Below are 27,018 nucleotides of genomic sequence, written 5' to 3' on the forward strand. Positions count from 1 at the left end.
TGTTTATTTAGATCATTCTTAATTTAACAAGGCTTTACAGTTTTCAGTGTACAAATCTATCACCTACTCTGCTAAATTTATTCCTAAGCCATTTATTCTTTGTATAAAAATAAAATTCATTTTTGTACATTGATCTTGTACAATTGCAACTTTGCTTAAATCATTCATTGGTTCTAATAGTTTTTAGAGTACACCATAGCCACTTTAGTGTATTCCTTATTCACTTCAGTTGTTACCTTGTCCACTAAACACGTGTCATCTACAAATAGAGATAGTTTTACTTCTTTTTTTCCAGTCCGGGTAACTTTTATTTACCTAATTGCATAATTGCCTTGGCTAGAACCTGTAGTACAATGTTGAAGAGAAATGGTGAGAGTAGACATCAGTCTTGTGCCCAATCTTAGGGAAAGCATTAATTCTTTCACCATTAAGTATGATGTTAGTTGTAGTTTTTCATAGATGCCCTCTATAAAGTTGAGTACGTTCCTTTCTATTCTTATTTTTTTCTTTCTATTCTTAATTTTCTGATTATTTTTAGAATACAAGGGTATTGGCTTTTTTTCAAATGCTTTTGGTTTTTTGCATATATTGAGGTGATCACGGCTTTTGTCTTTTATTTAAATAATATATTACATCAATTAATTTTCAGATGATGAACCAATCTGGCATTCCTGAGATAAATCTCAACTGATACTGATGTATAATTTTTTTTGTTTTGAGACAAGAGTTTTGCTCTTGTTGCCCGGGCTGGAGTGCAATGGCATGATCTCGGCTCACCAAAACCTCCGCTTCCCAGGTTCAAGTGATTCTCCTGCTTCAGCCTCCCAAGTACTAGCTTGGATTACAGGCATGCGCCACCATGCCTGGCTAATTTTGTATTTTTAGTAGAGATGAGGTTTCTCCATGTTGGTCAGGCTGGTCTCAAACTCCCAACCTCAGGTGATCTGCCCACCTTGGCCTCCCAAAGTGCTGGGATTACAGGCGTGAGCCACCGCACCCGGCTGATGTATACTTCTTTTTATATGGGGTTAATTTGATAATTGACAATGATGTATAGTCTTTTCTATATGGGGCTGGATTTTTTTCTTCAATTTTCAGAGACTTTATATTGTTGGTATTTTTTAAAAAATGTATTTCATGAGTTAAATTCTTATTTTACTTGGGAGAGAGTCTACCAAGGTGCTTATATCACCATTCTGAAAGCCTTGTCCTCCCATTCCATGTTCTTTTTAACTGAATTCAGGTTTTCTAATTTAATATGAACCATTAGCCATTGGAAGAGATCTTACTTATTACATTCTTATTATAAACAAGAAATCTGGCATACTAACTTTTCCAGACCAGCCACTTAACATAAAAACTTTTTCCTCTAATAGATAATTTGTTTTTGGGAAGGGGGGCAAATGTAATCCCCAGGATCTTCTTTTGATTTTTTTCCCATACAGCATAAAAGTATACATCAAAGCTGGCAAGGATAGTTATGAAATTTCTGAATTATCATTGTTTTACCTTCAGCTTCAAAAAACAAATGTTAGCTTTAGCTATAGTATATACATTGATCAAAGGTATTTTTTATAGAAAAGGGTTGAATCAGACTGAAATTTAAACACATTGAAAATTTAGCTTACCGATGACAACTAAATGGCCATAAATGGGTATATCTCTTAAATAAATATTTTGTTTGAAATAAAAAGAAACAATAGTTAATGAAAATTATGCTATTCATTCTTTAAAACTCTCAACTTCTCTTAAGAAATCAAATAAACAGATACTGATTGGGCATATACTATTCATTCATGAACTCATTAAGTAATTGCTAATTAAAAAGGCCTTTGATTTGCCACATACCAAATACCTAAATGTGAAACAAGGCACAATATAATTTATTCCATCAAAGAAGATTAACAACATGTTACCTCAATTCAACCATGAGAATCGGCAAAAGTTCTTGGCAGATATAGTTATTGATTGATAAAGGCCCCTAAAGAATGGGGTGGAACTTTGGCATGCAAGGAAGACAGGAGGGAGGAGTTCTTCCAGACAATGAAAATACTCTAGCTAAAGTATGGAGGTAGCCAATTATAAGGCATGGATGAGAAATGGGCAGCTTTCCATGACCTGAGGGCATTTACTTAGAAAACAATAAAACTAGAAAGTTAAGTGACAGGCCTAGAATGCCATTTTCAGTAATCTGTCCTTGCACTGTAGGCAATGAGGAGTGACCAAATCATTAAGCAGGCAAGGAGAGTGATCAGAACTTCACTTTAGGCAAAGATTTCTACCTATGTCGATAAAGATGATCAGGGCTGACGTAGAAATGGGTCAGGGACAGCAGAGATGATGGCACAGTCTCAGTTCCAGCTAATGAAGGTGGGACTGGGAGAGAAAAGAATACATGAAAAAATATCCTGAAAGTAAAAGCAAGAATAAGGGGAAATGGCAATAAGTTTCATTATTGAGCTAATATTAATAAAATCAGTAAAGTAAAAAATATATTCTGGGAAAATTAATGGCTTCATGATTAACAATTTGAGTTACTAATATCTAAAAATTGTTGACTGTCTAGAGTAAGTCTTTGCAAGGTGATTGGAATCTATGGGTATAGACAGTTGAAACCATCAATGTGGATAAAATCAGTTGAGATGAATAATATAAAATGAAGAGATCACACGAGAAGAAAAACGTTAAAGGTAAGTCCTAAGGGGATATATTCATTTGAAAGAAGGGAAGCAAGTGAAGATAAAGAAAAGGTAAACAGAGTCACCAGTATTACTGAAAAGCTATTACGTTTTAAGAAAGTCAATAGCAGGAGGCAGAATAATAGCCACCCAATGATATCATATTTAGAACCTATCAGTATGTGAGCTTGCACGACAAAGAGAATTATGGTTGTTAATCAGCTGATCTTGAGATGCAGAGATAATCCTAGATTATCTGGTCCTCTGTCCAATGTAATTACAAGAATCCTTATCAGTAGAACAAGGAAATAGAGTGTCAGATTGAGAGACAGATTTGAAGATGCTACACTACTGGCTTTAAAGATGGAAGAGGCCACAAGCCAAGGAACGAGGGTAGCCTCTCGAAACTTGAAAAGGCAAAAAAATGGACTGTACCCTAGACACTTCAAAAGGAATGTAATCCTGCCAACACCTTGATTTGGGCTTGGTTAGACCATTCTGACTTCTGATCTCTAGAACTGTAAGACAATAAATCTGTTGTTTTAAGCCACAAAGTTTGTGGCAACATGTTATGACAGCAAAAAGAAACTAGTATGTTGAGGAAAAACAATTAAGAAGAAACAGAATAAGCAAGAACACCAAATGCAATGAGGGATTCTAGGGAACACAAGCAATTTTACAAAAGGATAAGAAATAAGTAGAAACTTGAGATAACTGGTATACACTAAGCTTTTGGGAAAATTTACAGTGAAGAAAGGCAGCAAGAAATAGTATAGTGAGAAGTGACTAAAGAGTTGAAAGAGTGGTTTTATGGTTAATGTGTTTTAGGATGGCTTTGCAGGTAAAGAGGAAGAGTCAGGAAAGAGAAGAGATCCCAACTAGAAAATGAACTAATTAATGGCAAGAGTTAAAAGGAGTACAGAAAGGTGATGGAATTAATGTGCAGAGCTGGAACATTTTGCTCTGGAAAAATGTGAAGACACTTCATCAAAGACAGGGGAAATGGAGAATGAATATGTAGTAATAGAACTGAAGTTGAGTAAGTTCATGTCAGATATCTTTTACTCTTCTCAAGAGAGTAAAACAGAGTACAGATGTTACAAAACTTTACTGTGTGTAAGAATCACATGGACAGCTTATTAAACATGCAGATTTTGACTTCCAGTCAAAAAGCTTTGGTACTATCCTTTTTTTCCAAACACATAGCACTGACAGATGACATATAAAAAGAGAAAAACAAAAAAAGATGCAGCTGGTTTCAAAATAAAAGATAAATATTTCTTTAGACCACAAATAGTATTGAAAAACAGTGAGCTAAGCTGAAACTAGTTGGACTCCTTCTCCAGAAGCCGTCAGTGGTGGCCAAGAGACTGAGATTATACCTGATGACAATATGGTGAGATAAATTCTACAGCAGAAATAGTGAAAGGTAGTGAGAGAATGCAGAAGAGAAAGGGGCCAGGAAAGACTTCCCTGGGAAAGTGACAGTTAAATTGAAACAGATAAACAGGCCATGAAAATCAAATGGAATATTCTTCTCCAGGTAGAAGGAAGAGCATTCACAAAGGCCAGGTGTATTAGTCCGTTCTCACACTGCTAATAAAGACATACCTGAGACTGGGTAATTTATAAAGAAAAGAGGTTTAGTGAACTCACAGTTCCACATGGCTGGGGAGGCCTCCCAATTACGGCAGAAGACAAAGGAGGAGCAAAGTCACATCTTACATGGTAGCAGGCAAGAGAACATGTGTAAGGGAACTCCCCTTTATCAAACCATCAGATCTCATAAGACTTGACTATCAGAAGAACAGCTTGAGAAAACCCACCACCATGATTCAATTACCTCCCACCAGGTCCCTCCCACAATAAATGGGGATTATTGCAACTCAGGGTGAGATTTGGGTGGGGACACAGCCAAACCATATCACAAAGCAAGAGAGAGCATAATTTATTGAAGGAACTAAATAAATCTACCTGTGTCTGAATCAGAATGTGTGAAAAGAAGTTAGGCTGGAGAGGTAAACAGAATGATCAGGCAGGAACTTTATCCTGAGAATGGGAGATCCACATAGGAAAGTGACATGACCAAACTTGTGATCTAGAAAGGTAGTTGTGCTGCAGTGTGGAGAAAGGATTGCAGTGGAACATGTAGGAGATAGGAGTCCTGAAGGAAAGCTGTTTCAGAAATCTAGAAGAGAGACGTTAGTGACAAAGGCAGGAAAGTGGATGAATTCAAAATATATTTAGGAAATATATTTAGACTCCACCTAAATGTCTTGATGATAAAATGGGTGATTTGTACCCAGGTTTATAACTTGGGAAAGAGAATGAATAATTGTGCCAATCACTGTCATGATGAACGTGAGAAATGATGATAAGGTATACGTGGGGTGGGTGTAGTGGAGCTGAAGACTCGGTCTGTGTATGTTGAGTTTGAGATAATTGTGGGATGTTTAAAGTATACGTGCCTGGCAGGCAGCTCCAGACAAAGGTAGGGAACTCAGAAGAGAGAGCTGTATTGTAGTTTTGGGAGCCAACTGCTTATAGATGATTGTTCCGCAGGGATGTTTCAGTAAGATAAAAAATGCAAAAGGTCCATCTGGTGACATCGATGAAATTAGTTTCACTTGACTGGTGAGAATAATCCCTAGATTAGAAGGTGTTCGGGAGTTAATCAGAAGAAAGAAAACAGAGAATGATTAGGGATAATTCCAAAGTTTGATGTGAACAAGAAGGAAAAGCGAGGGCAGTTACCCAAGGAGAAGATAGAAAGGGAAGGATATTTTTTAGAATGATGGAAAACAACAAGGGTTATGCAGAGGATGAAAGCCTGTGGTCTGTCACATTATATCATTATTTTTGCATTATTTCAGGATTTTACTATAGTACAATATATATTCTTTCTTGTCCCTCTTTTCTATTGTTATTAGTCTAAGGAAATACATTGAAAATAGTCTTTGTTATCATTAATAGGAACTAAGGGAACTTTTTAATTAAGAGCTTTTTGTTCACTTAGGCTGAATAATTGCATTTTTGAAAGGCTACTACTGCAGCAAAGTAATGAAAGGTTCCCTTTTGGCCTGAAATCAATACTGCATCTTTCTAAACACTAATTTGCAGTAACTCAGGCATGAAGTAATAATGGTGGCAAGAGGCAGCTCCATCACAGTGCTTTTTAACATTATAACAGTCTGAAAGCTATCTCTGTTTCAAAATACATAAAAGTTACTGATAACATAGTCAAACAATATGAGTTTGAATATTTGGTCTGCATTCCAAAGCAAATATTTCTTGGAAGGCATAGCTGTTTGCCAGCAGTAGTTTTTCTTTCTCTCTTTTCCTTTTCCTTTTTTTTTTTTTCTCTCTCTGTCCCTCTGTCTTTTTCGGGGGGAGGTAATTTACTCAAGTGGAAGTATTTTGTCACCTTTTGTTAGTCCAAATTTAAGACACATTAGGACAAACTTAAAACTTAAAACATAGACCTTTAAGACAAGTGAGATCAAGTTATTTATGTTTTAAAATACTGAAGACTTAACATAATGACACTAAGCTTTACAGGGGAATATTTTTTAACAATTAAGTGACAAGCTGTGAAAACCATGTCCTCCAGAAAATTTCTTTCATCCAATTTCCTCACTTTTCACAATTGCCCTAAACATTTTAAATAAAGGGAATTTAAATTGAAAGACTCCCTTAATGTTGGGCAAAATCTAAAATTTCAGCAATGCAAAAGTCAGGAAATTCCAAAGTTAAATTTACTATACTTATTTGAACTTGGCAAAGCTGCAAGAATTTAGAATTTGGAATGTAGTATTTAATAGGGAAAATTTAATATTTTCCCATTAAGCATCAGTACATGAAGGTGTGATCATAAAATCCTGAGGATTTTAAAACAAATTTTTGCATAATGCAGTAAGAACATTAATTTAAGAAGTATTGATCTTTTATCAGTACTCTGAGGATGCATCTAAAAATCATTTATTTTGTATCTTCTAAATAAATGGCACCAAATGAAAAAGAAATCCACCCTACATTCCACTATAGAATTATCATATAAATGAGCATTAGCCTCTGTGTTTTTCACACTTAATATCATAAAAAGAAAGAAACTCAATGAAAATGGTACCCTCATTCACTGAGACACATACATGTGCAATTTTTATGAAGAATGTTAATCTTCAAATTCATAGAGTTGAATTTTCTCATTATTGGTTGATTTTCTTATTCTCTTGACAGTTTACATTCATATGTACCCTATTTAAATTTAAAAAGTAGCTGCATATACATTGAACTACATAGACCTAGCTGTGTATATGCATAAAGTAGGTCCTGTACGTGTGAAGGTGTGAGTAGGGAGAAGTCACTCCTAATGCTTTGCCTGTAAACCACACACTTTGATGTTCTCAGTGGGGTGATGGAATTGCATAAACCCAACAAGCCATTCACTGGCATTCTCTATGCAAAACGACAAATTCAAAATAGCTGAATGGGGAGACTACCAATTCTGTGGCTGAACCTCATTAGGACCACACTCTAACTATGCTAATACAGCACAGACACATTCACATTACACATCTGGACAATTCTCAAGTGCGCCCACACACTTCAGAGATCTTGACCGAGACTTCGAAAACCTTCATATTTGAAATTCCCTTTTCCTTAAGTTACTCAGAGCACCTGCTGTTTGATGATTTATGCAAAAGTTAAACTTTTGCCTGTAGACTTAGGACGATAAGTCATGAAGCTGAAAGTGTTTTGAATAGTTTCATGTCAACTGAGAGAATATATGGTAAATGGGTATTTGAAACTGCTAGAGTGCAAGCAGAAAGCAACTATTTCTCCCACTGCTGTTTTGCATATTCTCTCTTGACCAGTTCTTTCTTGACCCTAGGAAATCTCATGCAGTTCACACAGGTTTTCCAATCCCCTTCAGATAAATAAAATGTAACAAATCTAACAGTCTAATCTTTCATTCAGTTAAAGCTTCCCTTCTTCCTAGGGTGAGCATCCCCCAGGCTCAGAAGCCCTCAGTAATGAAGGGGCATGGTGTCTTCTTTCTTCTATCTTTCCAGTCCTTTCTTTCTAGCTGGCAACTACTATGAGCACTTTCAAGGTTGCAGTAAGGACGTGAGAGGACAGGTACTAGGAACGAAGATCTTTCTTGATTATGGAGCTATAATCTCCCTGACTTTTCCTTCCCAGTCTCCTTTGTTGGTGCTTTCTCATCTCCTGCACCTCTAAATGTTGAAATGTTCTAGGGCTCAGCACTTGGACTTCTCTAGCAAAATGCCTCCCCTGACTGACTTTATCCAGTCTCATGGCTTTAAAGACCAACTCTAAGTTGAAGACTTCCAAATTTATATTGCCAACCTTGACCTTGCCCTTGAACTTGACTCATATATGCAATTAGAAATATCTATCTAGCTGTCTAACAGATGTCTCAAATTAACCCTCTAAAACTAAGCTCCTGAGATGGAGGTGGGATCCCTCGTAGGGGCCTGAGCTTCTGCCCACCCCCCTGCCACTGCCCCACCAAGCATGGAAATAAAAGATAATCTTGAGTTCCTTCGAGAGAAAGTCCAGGCACATAGCTAGTCCTGAGAAGTAAATGAGCAACTTAATAAGCAAGAAGGTAATAGTAGCTTAAAACAATAACCAAGGAAGTTAGAATAATGAGATTTTTGTTCTCTATAGAAACTAAATATAGCACCTTACCATTATATCCCTGAGTTGTTTTTCAGAAACCCTGACCCCCACCAAAAGGATCTGCTGGCACATAGACCTCAGACCAAGGGGAACTGAGGACTGAACTCTGACCGCCATTCTTTCTTCTAAAGTTCTTCTTGAGGCACCTGGAGAAAGCCATGCCCACGTGCCAGAGCTAACATTCTTTTCTGCTGATTTCAATTTTAAATAAAGCTGCTCTTTATTAATCAATTGCAAATTGGAAAATATTTGGCTCTACCTATGGTCTGTAAGCCCCTGGTTCAAGATACCCAGCCTCTTTCAGTCAAACCAATGTATAAGCTCCATGTATTGACTTAGGACTTTGCCTGTAACTTCTGCTTTCCTGCCTTTAGAAATCCTTACCTATAAGCCATTGGAGAGTCCGGGTCTGAAGCACGAGCTGCCTGATTTTCCCTGCTGGGCACCCTGCAATAAATGCCTCATTTTCTTTTGCTGCAATCTCGATGCCAGTGTTTGGCTTACCTGCATTGGGCAGGTGAACCCAAGTTCGGTTCGGTAAACATTCCTGATAACTTTTCTCCTCGCTATGTTCTCCCCACAGATGTTCTCCATCTCAGTTAATGGCAATTTCAACCTTCAGTTCTACAAACTTTGAAATTACTCAATTCTTTTCCTTTCCTACCCCACAACTGATCTGTCAACAAATTCTTCTGGCTCAGCCTTCATAATACATCTGGAATTCAACCACTTCTCATCACTTTTACCACAAAAACCCCTGGTCCAAGCTACCATCAAGTCTCACTTAGATTATTGCAGGAGCCTCCCAAGTGGTCTCCATGCTTCCCCACTTGTTCCCTTATTATCTTGTTACTACCCAGCAGCTGGAGTAAACCTTCCAAAATGAAGGTCAGAATATTATACTTCTTAACTGAAAAGCTCTAACAGCTCCCATCCTTGAGAATTCAAACTAAAGTCCAAAGTATGCACCGTGGCTGGCAAGGCCCCTCCCCATTTGGCCCTGGACTACATCTCTAAACCCATCTCTTACTAATTAATCTCCTCCTTAGTGCTCAGCTCCAGTCACACTGGACTCCTAATGTCGTCCCCTAGATACCTCAGGGGTGCCTCTACCTCAGGGGCACTGCACTTGCTGGCCCCCATCAGGAATTCAGCCCTGGCTTATCACTTTACTTCCTTCAGATCTTTGCTGAAATAAGGCCATGTCAGTGACTTTCCCTGGTTGCCTGTTTAAAATTCCACACCACATTAGCATTTTATAGGCTCTCATCCTGTTTTATTTTCTTTCTGACATAGCACAGACTTTAGTTGTTTACTGTCTCTTGCCTCTATAATGTAGACTTTATGAAAGCAAAGATTTTGATCTGTTTTGTTCATTACTCTATTCCCAGGGTCTAGAACAGTGACGGAACTCCGTAAATATATTTTTGTATGAGTGATTCTGGTATCAGTGTCATCTGGGTGTGGCAGGTCCAAAGCCTAGTGTGTTTTGAGAATCCTCCTAATCCTAAGGTCTCTCACCTCTCACGGATGATTCTAGGGATAATAACTCCTCTACCTGGCCACTCTCATTGGCCCCAGGTTCCTGACAGCTTATCCTCATGCTGGGATCAGCCACCCTCCAGGTAGTTGCATGGACAGAGCCCCTCTCAGGACAATTCAACTCATCTGTTTTCTGTGAGGCCCTCACCTGGCAGATGGGAAACTCACATGTCCTCTGCCTTTCAAACTCTGGAAACGCAGAACAGCCTTTCCAGGTGTGAGTCAGGCTGTACTCCTTACCTTCTCCCTCTCCCACACTCTAGTTCATGGATGACACTTTTCAAAAAAGATCCCCAATACCGTTCTCTTCAATCTCCTTAAGGATTCTCTTTTTACACAGCTTGGGGGTGAGCGATGGGCCACTAAAGGCAAAACAGTCTTCCCCTTCCTTTCGTCACTTCTGTTCTCCCTCCTCCCACTCCTACTGCCCACCCACTATACAAATACTGAAGACAATGGTTTACAGTATAGCAGTATTCCTAAAAAAATCGGAAATGAAATTTTAATTATCTTCTTAAAGAGGAACAGATTTGAGAATATATTTTATTCATGAAATCCACACCATTTTTAAATTCCAGGTAGAAATATTAATATGTAATTAACTAGCCATTGCAAATAGTGTTTATATATACTGGCATAAAGGATCTATACACAACGTAACATTATACTTTGTGGAAAAAAACATCAAAATAACAATCTTCCACCTTCAAACAAGGAAAATGAAGACATAGAAGAAATATTTTAAAATGTATAATCAAATTTTACATTAATGCCAGGATACTATACTTCCTGTTTTGCTTTACTTGTTAATTATGAGAAATATTTCTTCTATCATAGTAAATTAAGAAAAACATTCCATGTGGGAGAAAAATTATGATAATTTAATTTGTGAAAGATGATATGCTACGAGTTTATTAAGTTGAATTAATTTCTAAGCCTACAATTAAATTTTTACAGTATGGTTTCACTAAAGCTAAATGAGAACTTTTTTCTTTTGCAAATTTCAAGTTTTCTGTTACAAAACATCTTCAAGCACTACAAATCTGTTGTACTTAGAATTCAACAAAACAAGAAAGCAACCTCTGAGACTTTTTTCACATATCATTTAAAGCACTTTTTTTATTCTTGCATTTCCTTTCCTGTGAGTTACCTTCTAATATTTTAGTTATTTTTCTGTTAGGTGTTAGCCATTTTCTTTACCTATTTCTAGGGCTTTGCCTTTAATTTAGTCATTTGCCTTAAATATTACTTGCAAATATTTTTTCTTTGGCATTTTTCTTTTGACATTCTTTTTGATGTCTTTGCCAGTAGTTTTTTCATTTTTCATTTTTTTTAAACTTTTATGTAGTTGAATATGTCATTTATTTTCTTTTATAATTTCTGGATTTTGAACATAAAAGAATTCTCTTATGTTGTATTATTGTACATTTATTGTTCTATTTAAAATTTAAGTCTTTACTTTTTTGTTATATTTGGCTTACTTCCTTATGTTTTACATTCATATTTCAAACATAGCATTATGTTTAAAGCACTTTCTTTCTTGTTCACATTCGTGTCTAAAACAGAACCTATTTATGTCTAAGCCTATAGCAGTAGTTGCTTATATGTTTTCTCTTGCAAAATCATATTGAAAAAATAAAATACAGGCCAGTGAGGTGGCTTACGCTTGTAATCTCAGTACTTTGGGAGGCTGAGGCGAGTGGATCATTTGAGGTCAGGAGTTCAAGACCAGCCTGACCAACATGGTGAAACCCTGTCTCTACTAAAAATACAAAAATCAGCCAGGTGTGGTGGCACAGGCCTATAATCCCAGCTACTCGGGAGGCTGAGGCAGGAGAATCCCTTGAGCCTGGGAGGCGGAGGCTGCAGTGAGCCGAGATCACACCAGCACCACTGCACTCCAGTCTGGGCGACAGAGTGAAACCCTGTCTCAAAAATAAATAAATAAATAAATAAATAAATAAATAAATAAATAAATAACACAAAATACTGATTGCAATAGCATGAACTTCTTTTCAAGTGCCACACTGACTCATATCCCATGTAGTGTACAGGTAGACAAACTCATAAACATAGAACAACTGAAATGATTTGGATAATGTTGAGAGAATTTCATGTCTTCTAATTTCAGGAATGCCCAGGTTTTAATAGCAGTCTAGACAATAGTAGAGAAGATTAGAAAGAGAAGTAATATAACGAAGAGTAGAAAAAATAGGAGGTGATAGTTGGGAATAAGTAAGGTAGATCTACAAAGAAAAACAGTAGAGCCAAATTTATTGTTATCTTAGTGGGCCATTCCTTTCCCTTTGGAACTTTCTGGCAAAAATAATAAGATCCTGAGTTCCTGTTTGACAACACTTACTTTAAGAATTAAAATCGCTTTCTAATACAGCAGTCTCTCCTTCTCTGGGAAATATGTTCCATGACCCTCAATGGATGCCTGAAACCATGCATGGTACTGAACCTGATTGCTGTCAATCAGGAACACGTTTTTGTTCACGTCTTCTACCCACAAATTTCGTGCTTTTTCCATTTTTAACTAAGTGCTTAACATGTACTGTCGCCATAACTTTTGCAGTTTGAGGTACAACAGCAAAACCAGCACAAATTTCTTCTTCCCTCTTCGCAATTACACAGATAAAAAAATCTATTCTTACTGTAGAGCTTAGTAACTTTAGCATATGACTTTTTTGCCTTATTAAGTCAAGAGCTTTCATCTTTTCATTTAAAAGGGGGCACTTTACAGTCTCTCTTTGGTATATCTGAATCATTACCATCACTACTCTAGCACTTTGGGGCATTATTAAGTAAAATAAGGGTCACTTGAATACATGCGCTAAGATACTGTGACAGTGAATCTGATAACTGAGGCAGCTACTGAGTGACTCCTAGGCAAGGAGTGTCTGCAGCATGGATATGCTGGACAGATGGATGAGGCACATCTCCAGCACAAGATGTTATTACCTTACTGAGAATGGCACGCATTAAAACATATGGATTATTTCTGGAATTCACCATTAAGATTTTTGGACTGTAGTGGACAGCAGGTACCTGAAACTGTAGAAAGTGAAACTGCAGATAAGGGGACTACTGTAATAATAATGATGATAATGATAAATCTTACAATAACATGTCCCAAACTCCAATCATTTAAAACTTCACCTCCATACCTATTGAAATACCCTGAATCATTTAAATTACATCTCTCTATTTCTACATGTATACTTATTTTAAAAATTTAATATGAACTTTGGGATAATCAATAATATTTTCAGGAATAACATTCATAAACACATAGTTTTGATGCACTGGTTGTATTTTTTCTTAAATTTTTTTCTTATAGCTTATTAATATTAAAATAAAACCTATTTGTCCGTGGGCCACTTAAAATCAACTAGCCAGTCACTAAGAAAATAGTGGTAAAATTAAGTAAAATTGACACCATTTGAAATACAGAGTAAGAATAGTGAAATCAAGAACAGGAGTTGGCAAACTACAGCCCACAGCCTGTTTTTGTAAGTAAAGTTTTACTGGAACACAGCCTCACTCATTCGTTTTTACTGTCTATGGCGGATTTTGCACTACACTGGCAGAGCTGTCTATTTGTGACAAAGACAGTATGACCTGCAAAGCCTACAATATTTACTATCTGGCTCTTCACAGAAAAGTTTGCCAAGCCCTGATCTAGAAGAACTGCATTTAGTGTTCGGATCTAGAAAGACTGCATTTAGTGACTGGCTCGATGACTTTAGGTGGTCTGTGGACAAATAAATTTTATTTTAATAGTCATAAGTGATAAAAAAAAGTTTTAATAAAACTAGTATTTTATTTTGACCTGCATTTAGGGTGTTGTATTAGTCTGTTTTCACACTGCTATAAAGAGCTCCCTGAGACTGGGTAACTGATAAAGAAAAGAGGTTTAATTTACTTGTAGTTCTGTATGGCTACCGAGACCTCAGGAAACTTACAATCATGGCAGAAGAAGAGGCACATTTTACACGGCAGCAGGAGAGTAAGCCTGAGACTGAGCAAGAGCAGGGAAAACTGCCTTATAAAATCACCAGATCTCATGAGAACTCACTCACTATCATGAGAACAGCAGTGGGGAAACCACCCCCTGATCCAATCACCTCCCACCAAGTCCTTCCTTCAACATGTGGAGATTATGGGGATTAAAATTCATGATGAGATTTGGGTGGAGACACAGCCAAACCATATCAGATGCCTTAAAAAAAAGATGTTAGGGGTTTGCTCCAATTTAAAGAAATGAAACTGGAAATCAGAGCATTTGGGTGAGGTTTACACAACAATGGCAGGTCAGGAACTTATTTGGGAAACCACTTTCTAAAAGAAGGCCTACTTCCTCTATCAGAGGATTGGAAAATATTGGTCAACATACAAGTTTGAAGTTAGACTGCAGTACTAAAAGATAAATAATTTTTACGATCCTCTCTTTTACAAACTTGTTATAACATTCAAATACTTAATATTGATTTTGCAACATAAGAGGTTTTTACTATAATCCTTAAAACAGGTAAGAACAATACAAAAAGCAATTTTCTTCTATGTAATAAAACATAATAGATTATTATAATGCACTATTACTAATGGGAAAAGCAAAGCTTTGATTTATAGTCACATAGTCCTGGTAGCATTTCTGAGAATTTGGAAGATGAAACCTATAGCTGAAGAATATGTTTACGCTTCAGATTAGCATCAGCTATATGGCTAGTTAAATCAAGCTATGCAAAATTTAATTTGATAGCATACAGCTGTTGGTTAATAATGCCCAAATTTTCCTCTGCCGTTCACCAAAAGGCACAAACCTGCAACCCAACCCTTCATTTGTCCTATGTTAGCTGCTGCTAGACTGGGACAAAAATATACCTCAGATAGTTTTATAATTAAACTAGAAAATACACAGTAATATGTGAAATATGAAACCACAGCCCTCTAGGAAAATCAAAGCTTACATAAAAACATAGCAACTCACTCAGTATCTGTATGACATTAAAAGAAACCTTCTCATACTATAACTAAATTTGTTTATTTATATTGATTTTGTGTCTTCTAAAATAAGGGCTCTTTAAATAGCTGTCTTCTGGAAGCAGGTAAAACAACTACTGGCACATGGAGAAACAATTTACCTAACCTTGCGACCAATACAGCAGGTGACTAGAACTAAAATTCTCAGAATCCTTCATATTATCCTTAAAATATAATTATTTGTACTAAAATCCAGTAAAGGCAAAGTATGGATGAGAAACACTATATTAAAATAAGAAAAGTTTGCATTAAGATAAGGGGATTTAGTCTGGGATTAAGAAAGAAAGACAATTCAAGCATTATCACAGCTTTGTTTATTTACATCCTGCCATAATATACTCCCAAGGATGCATCTAAAAGAAATGGCAGCCCATAACATTTGTCTCCAGACCTGCATACATTTTTCAATGCCTGGCAGTGAATAAAGTGTGTATATATATATATATATATATATATATATATGGGCAGTAAGTGACAGCACTGGCGAGAACTGCAGTCTTGGATCTAGGTATTACATTTCAAGTTTTGTTACATTTTTATTTGACTACAGCAGGATTTCTTTAGAGTAGACTAATTTCTTTCAGGCACTGAGCCAAGGTAATTTGTGAGATGGAGAAAGGTTCCCTCTCTCTCTCTCTCTTCCTCCTACCCTTCTTCCCTGTCCCTCTCCTTCTTTCTTCCTCATTTTGTCAAGAGAATATAAAGATACATATGAATATTATAGAACTTGCATTTTATTTTGGCCTGAATTATTGTTTTTTCATTCTACTATGAAATGGCTATTATATGTTAAGCAAAATAAAAATTTATCGAGCAATTTTTTAGTAACTGAAAGGGAGGCAATATTTCAGATACCTTTTTCCTCTAATGGCAAAGTTCAACAAAATGTTCACCTGATCCTTTCATTCAGGGTAGAATAGGTTTTCCTATCATTAACACACATCTAATTTTATGTCTCTGAGAAAGATGTCTTGGAGGCTCTCAATTTTTCCAGTCATCTTTAGCAGACACTGAATTGCAAGAATCATGTGAATTACTTTACCATGCTTTTTTTTCATAATTTTAAAAAAAGAATTTAAACATACAATGGCACTAGGGAAACAACATTGGTTCTCAGCATTTGGGAAATTTTTCCTGAATCCATCAAAGTGCAATTTCCTGACCACTGTCTTATGTTAAATAAATCAAGCCCTCTGGGTCTTAACTCTCCATTGCTGTAATTTAGGTGGAACTGGAGCAGGGGAATAAAAACAGGCTGAGACCAGTCAGGAATTAATGGATACCCTAGTTCCACATTTTCTCATCTCATGATAGACTTGGGGTCATTTCATTGCCTGTTAATACTTTCATCAGACTAGGCAAATATATGCTCTAGTAAGTCAACTGTGTTATTTTCAAGATTTTTGTTAGCTTTTTAAAAGAATTTATTTATTAGAAACTGTACTAAAAGTCATCACTGAAATTACACATCAGAACTCTTCCACAATTAATTTCTTTGCTATCCTTGTCTTTAACAAGGACCCAAAGTGTCAAATGCTTTATATGTTATGCATAAAAACCTTAAGCAGAAAAGACCATTATTATTCCTATTGTAAAGATGCAGGCATTAATTTTCTTGAGATGACACAATTCATATGGGGTGCAGCAGGAGCACAGATGGACATTTGGGTCCCAAATGTTCTCTTCCCTCCCCAAATTTATTTCCTTAATTTTACTGAAAACTTAAATTGTCATTTTTCTCTATAATTTTCCTCTTGTTACTGGGATAAATATGTTTGAAAATAAAATAGATTTTTAAAAAGTTAAAATGTCATCTGGATATTTCAAACTTTGCTCCAGATCACAATCCAGATCAAAGCCTGTCTTCACATGCCAAAGATTACCTTTTGCTGAATAATTTTCTTTTGGAATATGTATTTTTTCACAGATTTCATGTTTATGACAATGATGTTACCCACTGTGCCTCAAATAAAGAACTCTTTCTGGTCTAGACTTTTATAGAAACCTATGCATGCAACTTTCCATGTAAACAGTTTTGTTTAGGTTGAAATTAAAGGAGTGACGTCACTTCAGTAATTCCCCATGAAATATGGCTGTTAGTTAACTAACACCGTCAAGGTGCTGTCCAAGTTGCTTAACACATGTGTTTTACTAGTGCACGCCATTTGTGGGAAGAAACTCAAATAGTTTAGATTGGCAACTTCTGATAAATATGCTAGGAGGTGCTAAGTGCTCATTTTGCCTCGTATGTCAGCTCTGAGCTGCTGTTTGGCTGCCCCTCTGGAGTTCCTATCACTCTTCCCCGCTGGTCTCACTTTCTTGGATGTGACGTTTCCATTTATGAAACACAGCATGGGCTTCTAAAAATCAGACTAAAAATATCACTGCTAGTATGCCCTTCCCAAATAGTTTATAAAAGCATATATACTTCAAATTTCCATTTCACATTTTAACTGTTGATATATATTCTCCAAATGACTCTGCACTAAATTTCCAAACTACTCTATGCTCTGCCTCCCAACATAAATGTATCATAAAAAGCAGATTCCTTAGTGCAAAGAACTTTCATTGGATTACAAGTAATTGTCTATTTTATATGGAGAAAGATAGGAAAACGGTAACCCTAAGTGATGTCATTTTTGCTTAGCACAAATAAGAAAAAGTCAAAAAAGGCTTTGATTCTTAAACCCAGTGGCTCCACTTAAAAAAAAAAAAAAAGAAAAAAAAGTATGGAAATATTTGCGGTATCTTCGTTTCTCCTGTATGATTTCCTAATCTGAACGATGTGTCCAGCGCCTCATGGAAGAGACATAAAAAGTAACCCAGAAGACAAAGTCCTTTAAGCCAGGGCAGAATCCCTTGGCAGTTATTCCCTCACCAATCTGGACAGAGGGCTGGGAGACACACAGTCCTGGGCTGAGGTGGAGATGTAGATCACTCACCCTAACTGCGGGGAATATCAAGCTCTTTGTTCTTCAATCAGGCACCCAGCAACAGTAAGCCAAAACAAGGCTCCAGCATGCTAACATTGCTATGACCTAAGCTGCTCACACAGAGATCTCTCGTGATAGAAATGTGAATGAGTCACCTTTTGGTAATGAAGAGATCAAAAGACAGGACAGACATATTCCTTGGGAAAATCCAAATGACTCGCTCCAGGGTGGAGTTCATAGTCTACTTTGAAGAAGATACCTGGTACAACACTGCACAGAGTCTTTGTACCTGAAAGTATGTTGAATACTATTCACAATGAAAAGAAATGGGGAAACAAATGCCCATCAATGGGAAAGCTGACAAACACGCTATGGTATAGCTACATAATGGAATATTGTATCCCACTCTAAAGAATGAATTAGAGCAGCATGCAATTACATAGATCAATCATATCATTATAATATGAAGTGAAAAAGTTAAATTCCACACAGCATTAAAACTCTTTTGTAACGTTTAACAACTGCAATAATGATTATGATGATGAATGGAGTATCTCTAGATTTAATAAAATTATCTAAAAATTAACAAGAAAATGTGAGATTCCTATACAAAGTGATGGTTATATGGGGGCCTCATAACCACCATGGGTAGATGCAGGTTATTGTCATGGTCCTAGCTTTTGGTTTTGGTGGCTTCATGGGTGCTTATTACATTGTAATAGCAAAGCAAAAGTAGGTCATGGATCAATAATAATAAGAATCATGAATCAAATACTATGATTAATACAATATTATGCACCTGAAAGAGAAAAGGGGAGCACCACATATAGAGAGAGTAGTCTAGATAGATAAATAGATAGATAAATAGTATGTATGTATAGATAGATAGATAGATAGATAGATAGATAGATAGATAGATAGATAGACAGACAGACAGACAGAAAGACAGGAGAAATGCTGAAATAAATAAATGAAAGCATCATAAAAAAGAAAAAGAAATTGATCTGTTTTTCTGTTTTGAAAGTCTTAATTTCAGTAGGCCATGTAGTTTGTTTGCAGTTGGTGACCAGGATTTTACTAGCTTTTTGTTTCAAAATGACTTAACAACATCTCTTTTCTTCATAACATGACTACTACAGGCTGGAGTGCAGTGGCATGATCCCAGGTAACTGCAACCTCCGCCTCCTGGGCTTAGGTGATCCTAATGCCTCAAGCCTCCGGAGTAGCTGGGACCACATGCACATACTACCACGTCTGGCTAATTTTTGTATTTTTAGTAGAGACAGGGTTTCACCATGTTGGCCAGGCTGGTCTCAAACTTCCGGGCCTCAAGTGATCTGCCTGCCTTAGCCTCCCAAAGTGCTGGGATTACATGTGTGTGCCGCCGTGCCCGGCTACATTCACCCATTTAAGTCTTGTATTTTTTCCAAAAGCATATTATAATCAGCTTCATTGTAATAACCATCTTTGATCTGTCCCTTAATGTCTGTTTTACTTTTACTTCAAGTCACTAAATATATTTTAATGAGATTTTTCTCTGACAGCAATTAATGGGAGGATCATTAAAATCAAACACATTTCATTTGACACTCTTAAACTTTTATTGATTTATAAAAGTAATAGTTTTATGGTAAGTGGAAAGGTCCCATATTTTCATCCCACATTCAGTAAGCTTTAGATGTGCATATATTGTCTACTTGGCAGCACATAATGTGCCATAGATGTACCTACTGTTCTGGGGGATAAAGGTTGCAATGCCCTGTGACAGAGGCTCTAACAGCTTTGTATACATTGTTCCGGGGAGACAAGAGTTCTGGACGGAAATTCACTGAGGGCTCAAGAAAAAAACTGCCAAATAAATGGGTCTTCCCACCCCCAACCTTACTCTCTGTTTTAAATTTTTTGAATAAGTAATACATTTACATGGTTCAAAGTCAAAAACTTAGGTTAGGGCACTCAATGTGAAATCTCCTCTCCATTCCTTTTTCCAAGCCAGACAATTTCACCCCCAACAATATCCAATGCCACAGACTTTCTAGTCCTTCCATGGACATTCTATGCATTAACACACACACATACACACACACACTTTTTAATATTTTTTATGAAAATGTTTACAAATTGCCTTTGTCATGTAACAATATACCTTCAACATACGTTTATATCAATATATAAAGTGTCTGCTATCTTTTCGTAAGGATGAACAGTTTCCCACTGTGTGCATGTTTTTAATTGAATCAGTCCACTATCCTATATAGGTCTATGATATTTTGCTATTACAAAAAAAAGACAGAAGGAATAACCTTATTAAAATCCATCATTTCTTGATTATGAGTATAGACAAAACAACTTTTTAGAATTAAAACTAAGTGATTAAATATTATAGTATGGATATTTGTAATTTTGATAGATATTTCTAAATTGCCCTCTATATAGGGCACTTTTATACTCTTATCAGGAATTTGTGAGAGTGTCTATTTCTTAACACCCTCACCAATACAGTTTGCCATTAGAATTTTTATTTTATCAACATTTAGAAGTAAAAAATAGTGTCTCACAGTTTTATATTACACTCTCTTATTCTAAATACACTCTGCTTATATAAATAAGGATAAATATGTTTTTGCGAGTCACTGGTATTTCCCTTGCCATCAATAGTCAATTCATATCCTTGAACATTTTATTGGATATTTTCTTACTGATTTGTGGAATCTCTTTGTACTAGAAAAATTTGTCTTTCTGTGTGTTATGAGTTACAAATGCTTTTCCCAGTTTAGCATTTGTCTTTTTTTCTGGTTAGTAATTTTTTTTTCTTTTATTGCCATGTAATTTATTTTATTTTATGTAACTGAATTTATTAATCTATTTCTCTATAACTTTTAAGTGGCCAACACACTGAAATATGCTTTCTCAGGTCTAAGACTATATAAAAATGCTCATGATTATTTTTAGTATCACTTTCTTTTGTATACATAATATTTTATACAAAATTGTATAGATAATATTTGTATCTTTGATTCATTTAAAATTTATCCTGGTATAAGATGTGACACATAGATCCAAATTTATCTGTTTCAAATAATACCCTGTCATCTCAACATGATTCACTGCATATTTGATCTTTTCCCTTATTGATTTAAATGGCACAATTTCAACTTTTACTGAAATTTCTATTGTGTTTCATTGGGCTATTTACATGCTAGTACCATAGTAATTTAAATATTTTCGCTTTATAACATGTTTTAGTATCTAAAATGTCCTGTTCTCCAGTCTTTCAAATATTTTGCTGTCTTATCTTTCCATAGGAATAGTAAAGTACACTCTTGGCTATTTTAAAACTATTTCTTTAGACTATTGCTACTGACTCCTGTATTAATCCATTTTCACATTGTTATAAAGAGCTACCTGAGACTGGGTAATATATAAAGAAAAAAAGTTTTATTTTATTGGCTCATGGTTCTGCAGGCAGTACAGGAAGCATGGCTAGGGAAGCTTCAGGAAACATACAATCATGGTGGAAGGTGAACAGGAAGCAGGCACCTGGCCAGAGCAGGAGAAAGAGAGACAGAAGGGGGAAGAGCTACACACTTCTAAACAACCAGATCTCATGAGAACTCACTCACTATCACGAGAACAGCAAGGAAGAAATCTGCCCCCATGATCTAATCACCTCCCACAAGGCCCCTCTTCCAGCATTGGGGATTACAATTTGACATGAGATTTGGGTGGGGACGTAGGGCCAAGCCATATCAACTACCTTCTGTGAACAAAGATAAAATTAGTTCAGTTCCACTTTCTTACACCTACTTTTGTTTTCCAAGACCTGCAATTACAATTCTAAAGTCATAATGAATGAATTATTTAGGCACAGAATACATTTTAATTTAATTAACAGAAAATATAACAAAAATCCCTTAACTGAATATCTAACATATCAGCCAGAGAGGCGGCATAGAATACTTCGGAGAGAAACGTTTACTTTTTCAGGAATTAGCCCTCATGGGCTAACTTCTTAAAAGGCTCCATGGAAACCAGCTATTATGAGTGCAGTGCTTAAATTGGTCAATCTGGGGAGGGGGCCTGAAGCAGTAGATTTGGGTTGGAGCCAGTGAACTGCCAGGTCATACATCTGCAATCCCTGACGATACAAATAAAAAGTTCTCCCAACCAGGAAGGCTCAAGTGAAGAAACAGAAATGAAGGTCAAGGCTCTGTATTTTTTTGCCTTCATTTTTTCAGGGCAGACAGATGATGCTTTTTCCAATCACGCAGCTTATAATCTCTACAGCCAGTGCCAGGATCTTTAAACTGGATCTACTTCCAGCCTTGGTAGATTCTGGCCAGGGTACTACCACAAAATGCAATGGGCAAAGGGAGAATCACACTCTTACTGCAACTGCTGTCTCCATGAGTTTCCCCGTCAGTGCAGTCCCAGGCTGGGATGTGTGCCGCCTGGTCATCCAACACCTTTGTTTGCTCAATAGCACTGGCTAGGAGCAAAAGCTTTGGAGTCAATCTAGCACACTGGCATTCTGGCTCTTCTGTTTCTCATCCATATAATCCTAAGAAAGTTACTTGGCCTCTTTGTGCCTCAGTTTTTTCATCTCTAAGGTGAGTTAATAATAGTAACTAACCTCACAGCTCTGTGGTGATGATTTAATAAGATAACCCATGTAAAGTAGTTTAAATATTGTCTGGACTATAGAAAATGTTCAATTAATACAGCTTTTATTAATTTTATTTTGGTACATATATCCTGCTGGCAGAGTCAGGCAAGAAAAATAGTTCAGATACAATATGGTAAGTGAGGAATAAATTATTTGTGATGGGGGCAGAAAGCAGGTTTGAGTGTAGCACCCCTGACTTTCTTATTCGAGAGAGAGGGAATACATATGTTTTAACTACAGTGTTATAAATTAAGCTAAGATGATTTTCATGGTTTTTAAATTTATGACCCAAAAAGTCTTATCTGTTTCCAATGTTAGCAATCCCCTTGCTTCACTCTCCATTTTAATGAGTTTTCCCCTTGAGAATGTTAATGGATTTATTTTTATTTATTTTAAAATTAATATACTTTATGTAATATGAATAAGAGCAAGTACTTTTCAGTTTAGTACAGAAAGTTTATTTTCCATGGTTTATCTAAGCAGAGTTGGAACAGCAGCAGAGGAGACTGTGCCAACAACTTTTATGAGTTTCATGAGCCTAAATAAATATATTTGTTGTCACAAGTCTCAAACAACAAAATGCTGTGTTAATGGAACAAAGCTGAAAACTCTTCAAACTAAATTGCAAACAACTATCTGCCACATAAAGAGCCATTTAAGGGAAACTTTCCAATACAATGATGTTCTTTTTCTGCCTCCCATGTAAGCCAGGAAAGAATAACTAGCTCAAGGAATGTTAACGAAGGTATAGTCTGGAAGGGAGGATCACGCAAGGACATCTGGCTCCTGCTTGTGCTTTATCCACATGGACTGAAATTCAAACGAAAATACTTTATTGTACAAAAGAAAAACGCTGAGCTGTCTTTTAGTGTACCATTTCATATTATATTGATGTGTTCTCCTTCCCTTCTTCATTTAAATTAAATGGATATTTAAATTAATGGATGTTTGAACAGAGGAAGTTAACTGAAACAACCTTCTCTTTGCATGTGAAGAAATGGTTTATTCCACCAAAGAATAATTTTATCCGCTGTATTACAGAATTAGGAAATTAGATTTGGGAACCAAACTGGCACAGCAGAAATAAACATGGCTGCAGTGAGCATCATGAGAGGTTTTTTTGAGATCCAGGACCCTAATTGAGCAAAGGGGGATAATAACTGGTTCTCCTTAAAACAGACACACACACACAAACACACCACATACATACATACACACACAGAGAGAGAGGAAAAGGGAGAAATATGTATTTCTTTCTGCTTTGGGTTCAGATTTACAGCTTACCTAGTTGTCTATATCTGAATATGAGGGAAAAAAAGAGTCGCAGGAGAATCAAACAACATAAGCCTCCATGATAGATAGTGACAGACATGTTTCAAACATTAAGTTAGGAGATGAATGCTGCCCCCAGCATTAAAACATTTTTAATAAAAACTATATATGCTCAAACTTGATTTTTTGGCAGAATAAGCCTTTCAGAATAAGATTTCTGTTAAGAAGACATCACAGTGAATGAGCAGAAGACATTTCTTTCTTTTAGCTAAAAAGCAAAGGTCCTTGACATCAGAAGCATTACCTGCAGGTGACCAAAGAGGAACCATGACACAGAAGATCTAAACATTTGAAACTGCATTTAATGTTTACATGCTCTTGATCTCTCAATGGCAACCAAAGGAAAATCAAATTATTAACAAAACAAAAAATGCTAAGATGAAGCAAAAATTCCTTTGAGGAAGACCAGTAGCTTCTTTCCAAATTCAGTTTTAACTCTGGACCCACATTTTACCTTCCATTTGGACCTTCAGCCCAAGTCAAATAAACTAACTTATTATATATCCTACTCTCAATTAATCAACATATATTTGTTTGGAGCCTACTAAACTTTTCTAGGCTCTGGGATACAGCACTAAAGACAGAGGCTCTGTCCTGAAGGATCTCATTCAAGGGTTGGAGTGAGATAGTTAACAAAAAAATACACACAGAAAATATCAATAACATAATGTTTAACGATTAATAAGCTAATTGCAGTTTCTTGTTAAGGATACCACCATTTTCCTAATTACTCAGACCCAAAATACTGAACTTACTTTTCTTATTTCTGAACAGACCTAGTAACTTAAAGACCAAAAAAGGTTTTTAAAGAGAATTTAATTGCTGTGTGAGCAGAAACATGAAATGTGCTACTGTAAAAACAGGAAGAACATCATCTTAAATCTGCCAATAGTACTATGTTTTATATTTGCACTGTAATTCACATAATAAATTAAAATATTTTACCTTTGATAGTTGATCAAAAGTAATTGCTATAGTTATATTTTTATTTAGAGCAAACATTACATTTATGGCAAGATTTTTACAGACACTACATTATCCATAAAACTGACTACAATTCAAAACCTGTCACTAAGTGTAGCAACTGTTTATAGTTTTTCCAGATATATTATACTACTGATTACATTAAATAGTTTTATATAAGCAAATATCACTTGTTCTTTTTTTTTTTTTTTTTTTTTTTTTTTTTGAGACGGAGTCTCGCTCTGTCGCCCAGGCCGGACTGCGGACTGCAGTGGCGCGATCTCGGCTCACTGCAAGCTCCGCCTCCTGGGTTCACGCCATTCTCCTGCCTCAGCCTCCCGAGTAGCTGGGACTACAGGCGCCCGCCACCGCGCCCGGCTAATTTTTTGTATTTTTAGTAGAGACAGGGTTTCACCTTGTTAGCCAGGATGGTCTCGATCTCCTGACCTCAAGATCCACCCGCCTCGGCCTCCCAAAGTGCTGGGATTACAGGCGTGAGCCACCGCGCCCGGCCCACTTGTTCTTTTATATAAAGAAACAATATTACCCAAATAAAATTGAAAATAGCTGCTTTTAAGAAATATTTAAATAAATATGCCTTATACACAAGTAAGGCCTTCATAAAACCTTTATATTTCAAATTCTAATCACTACTTCTTCCAATTCTGCTATTCCCCACCAATCCCAAATATTAAATCACATAATTATTTCTGGGCAATGGTTAAATGGATTTGGCTGCCTGGGCAGGAAGCAAAGAAAGGCACGACTGGATTCAGGGCTTTGGGTGGTGCCTACGTGCTATCAATGTCCCTCTTTCCTAAAGAACATAGGCAAGTGGTGAATAAAGACTTGTACTGTCTTTCTCCCATGTCTGGCTTGGCTCTGTATGCTGCTTTGATGAAATGTAACATAGAAAAGCCTCATTCCATTTTTAACTAAGAAGAAATACATTGTTCGATGTGCATTAGAAATGTCACAACTACTATAATCAGTCAGTGGCTGTGCCTTCTCATCTATAATCAAACTTTGTTCCCAAGTACATCTAGTTTAGATATTAGTCCAGAAGTAAAAAGTGAAAGGGAGTGAGAAAAGTTTGAGCAACACAATCAACTTACAAAAAGCCAGGAGAAAAAATACAAAAAGCGGCCAGGAAAAAGCAGCACAACCCAGAATTTCTGCAGATCCCTGAGTTTTTGGTCTAATGTGGGTGCTTCTTCAGGTAATTCAGATATTTTTTCATGTCTTCCAAGTGTTACTTTCACCTTTCCACTACAGGCTGACTTTGACTATCGACAGTGTATTTAAGTAGTATAAGACACTTGGGCATTCTTGTAAACAATTTCACAGAGAATTTATTTGGTCCTTAAAATAATCAACTATGTTTTTTTAAACTTTCTTCCTAGAGGGAGCATGAAATTAATTTGTAATTACATAAAATGTATATAACTATAACAATTAATTTGGAGCTAAGTATACATGAACCAGGGCAAATGAAAAAAAACAGGATAATACATGTCTCAAGGATTTATAAGATTATGGTTTCTGGCATTGAAACAATGGCATATGTACCCACATTCTATCTCTTATGAAATAATATAGTTCATACTGCTGTTTATCTTCTATAATTAAACTTTAGATTTTGCCTCTTCCCATTTTCTTTTTTACAAAGAGGAATGCAGCTGTTTACAACCAATCAACAAAAAATAAACTACTTTTGGAAAGAGAAAGAGCAAAAGACTTAATTTGACTTGATGATAATGCTTATGTCACAAAAAATGAGAACAGTTATACTCTATTGCCTTTAGAAAACTGCCTTAGATGAAATAAATTTATTTAAGTAACATAACTGAAAAGATAAACATTGTATCAAAACTACTAGAATCATCAAAACTATTCTAAATATCCATGATCATTGAAGCCACATGCACTTAGAAACTTCTTGAATTTTATAAAAATGATACAGGTTTTGATCACAGATATATATAACAAATAAATTTATTCTATTAAGAACTGCTAATGGAATTTACATTTCAATATTATAATCCATATTTAATATTGCAGAAAAGTATTAGGTTTTTTGATATCTTTATTTGAGCAAGCTATTCTTTATTGAGATATTTGTAGTGGTAATTTCCAAACCCTTCCTGAATCA

The 27,018-nt window shown here is 36.1% G+C and overlaps 1 protein-coding gene across 2 annotated transcripts in view, besides 1 other annotated feature; it reads right to left on the reverse strand.

The window, feature by feature from the left end:
- The window catches only part of FBN2 (fibrillin 2), a 280,337-nt gene that overhangs the window by 161,083 nt on the left and 92,236 nt on the right, over positions 1-27,018 (reverse strand). The gene's annotated exons all lie outside the window — the stretch shown is intronic.
- Positions 17,489-18,688: an enhancer, noted in NCBI's record as "BRD4-independent group 4 enhancer chr5:127772173-127773372 (GRCh37/hg19 assembly coordinates)". NCBI's record gives its function as "activates an origin of replication core promoter dependent on BRD2, P300/CBP, MED14 and CDK7 cofactors, and independent of BRD4, by STARR-seq in HCT116 cells {active_cell/tissue: HCT116}" and the evidence as "EXISTENCE:reporter gene assay evidence [ECO:0000049][PMID:35650434]".

Source organism: Homo sapiens, chromosome 5 (assembly GCF_000001405.40).
Source record: "Homo sapiens chromosome 5, GRCh38.p14 Primary Assembly".
NCBI lineage: Eukaryota > Metazoa > Chordata > Mammalia > Primates > Hominidae > Homo > Homo sapiens.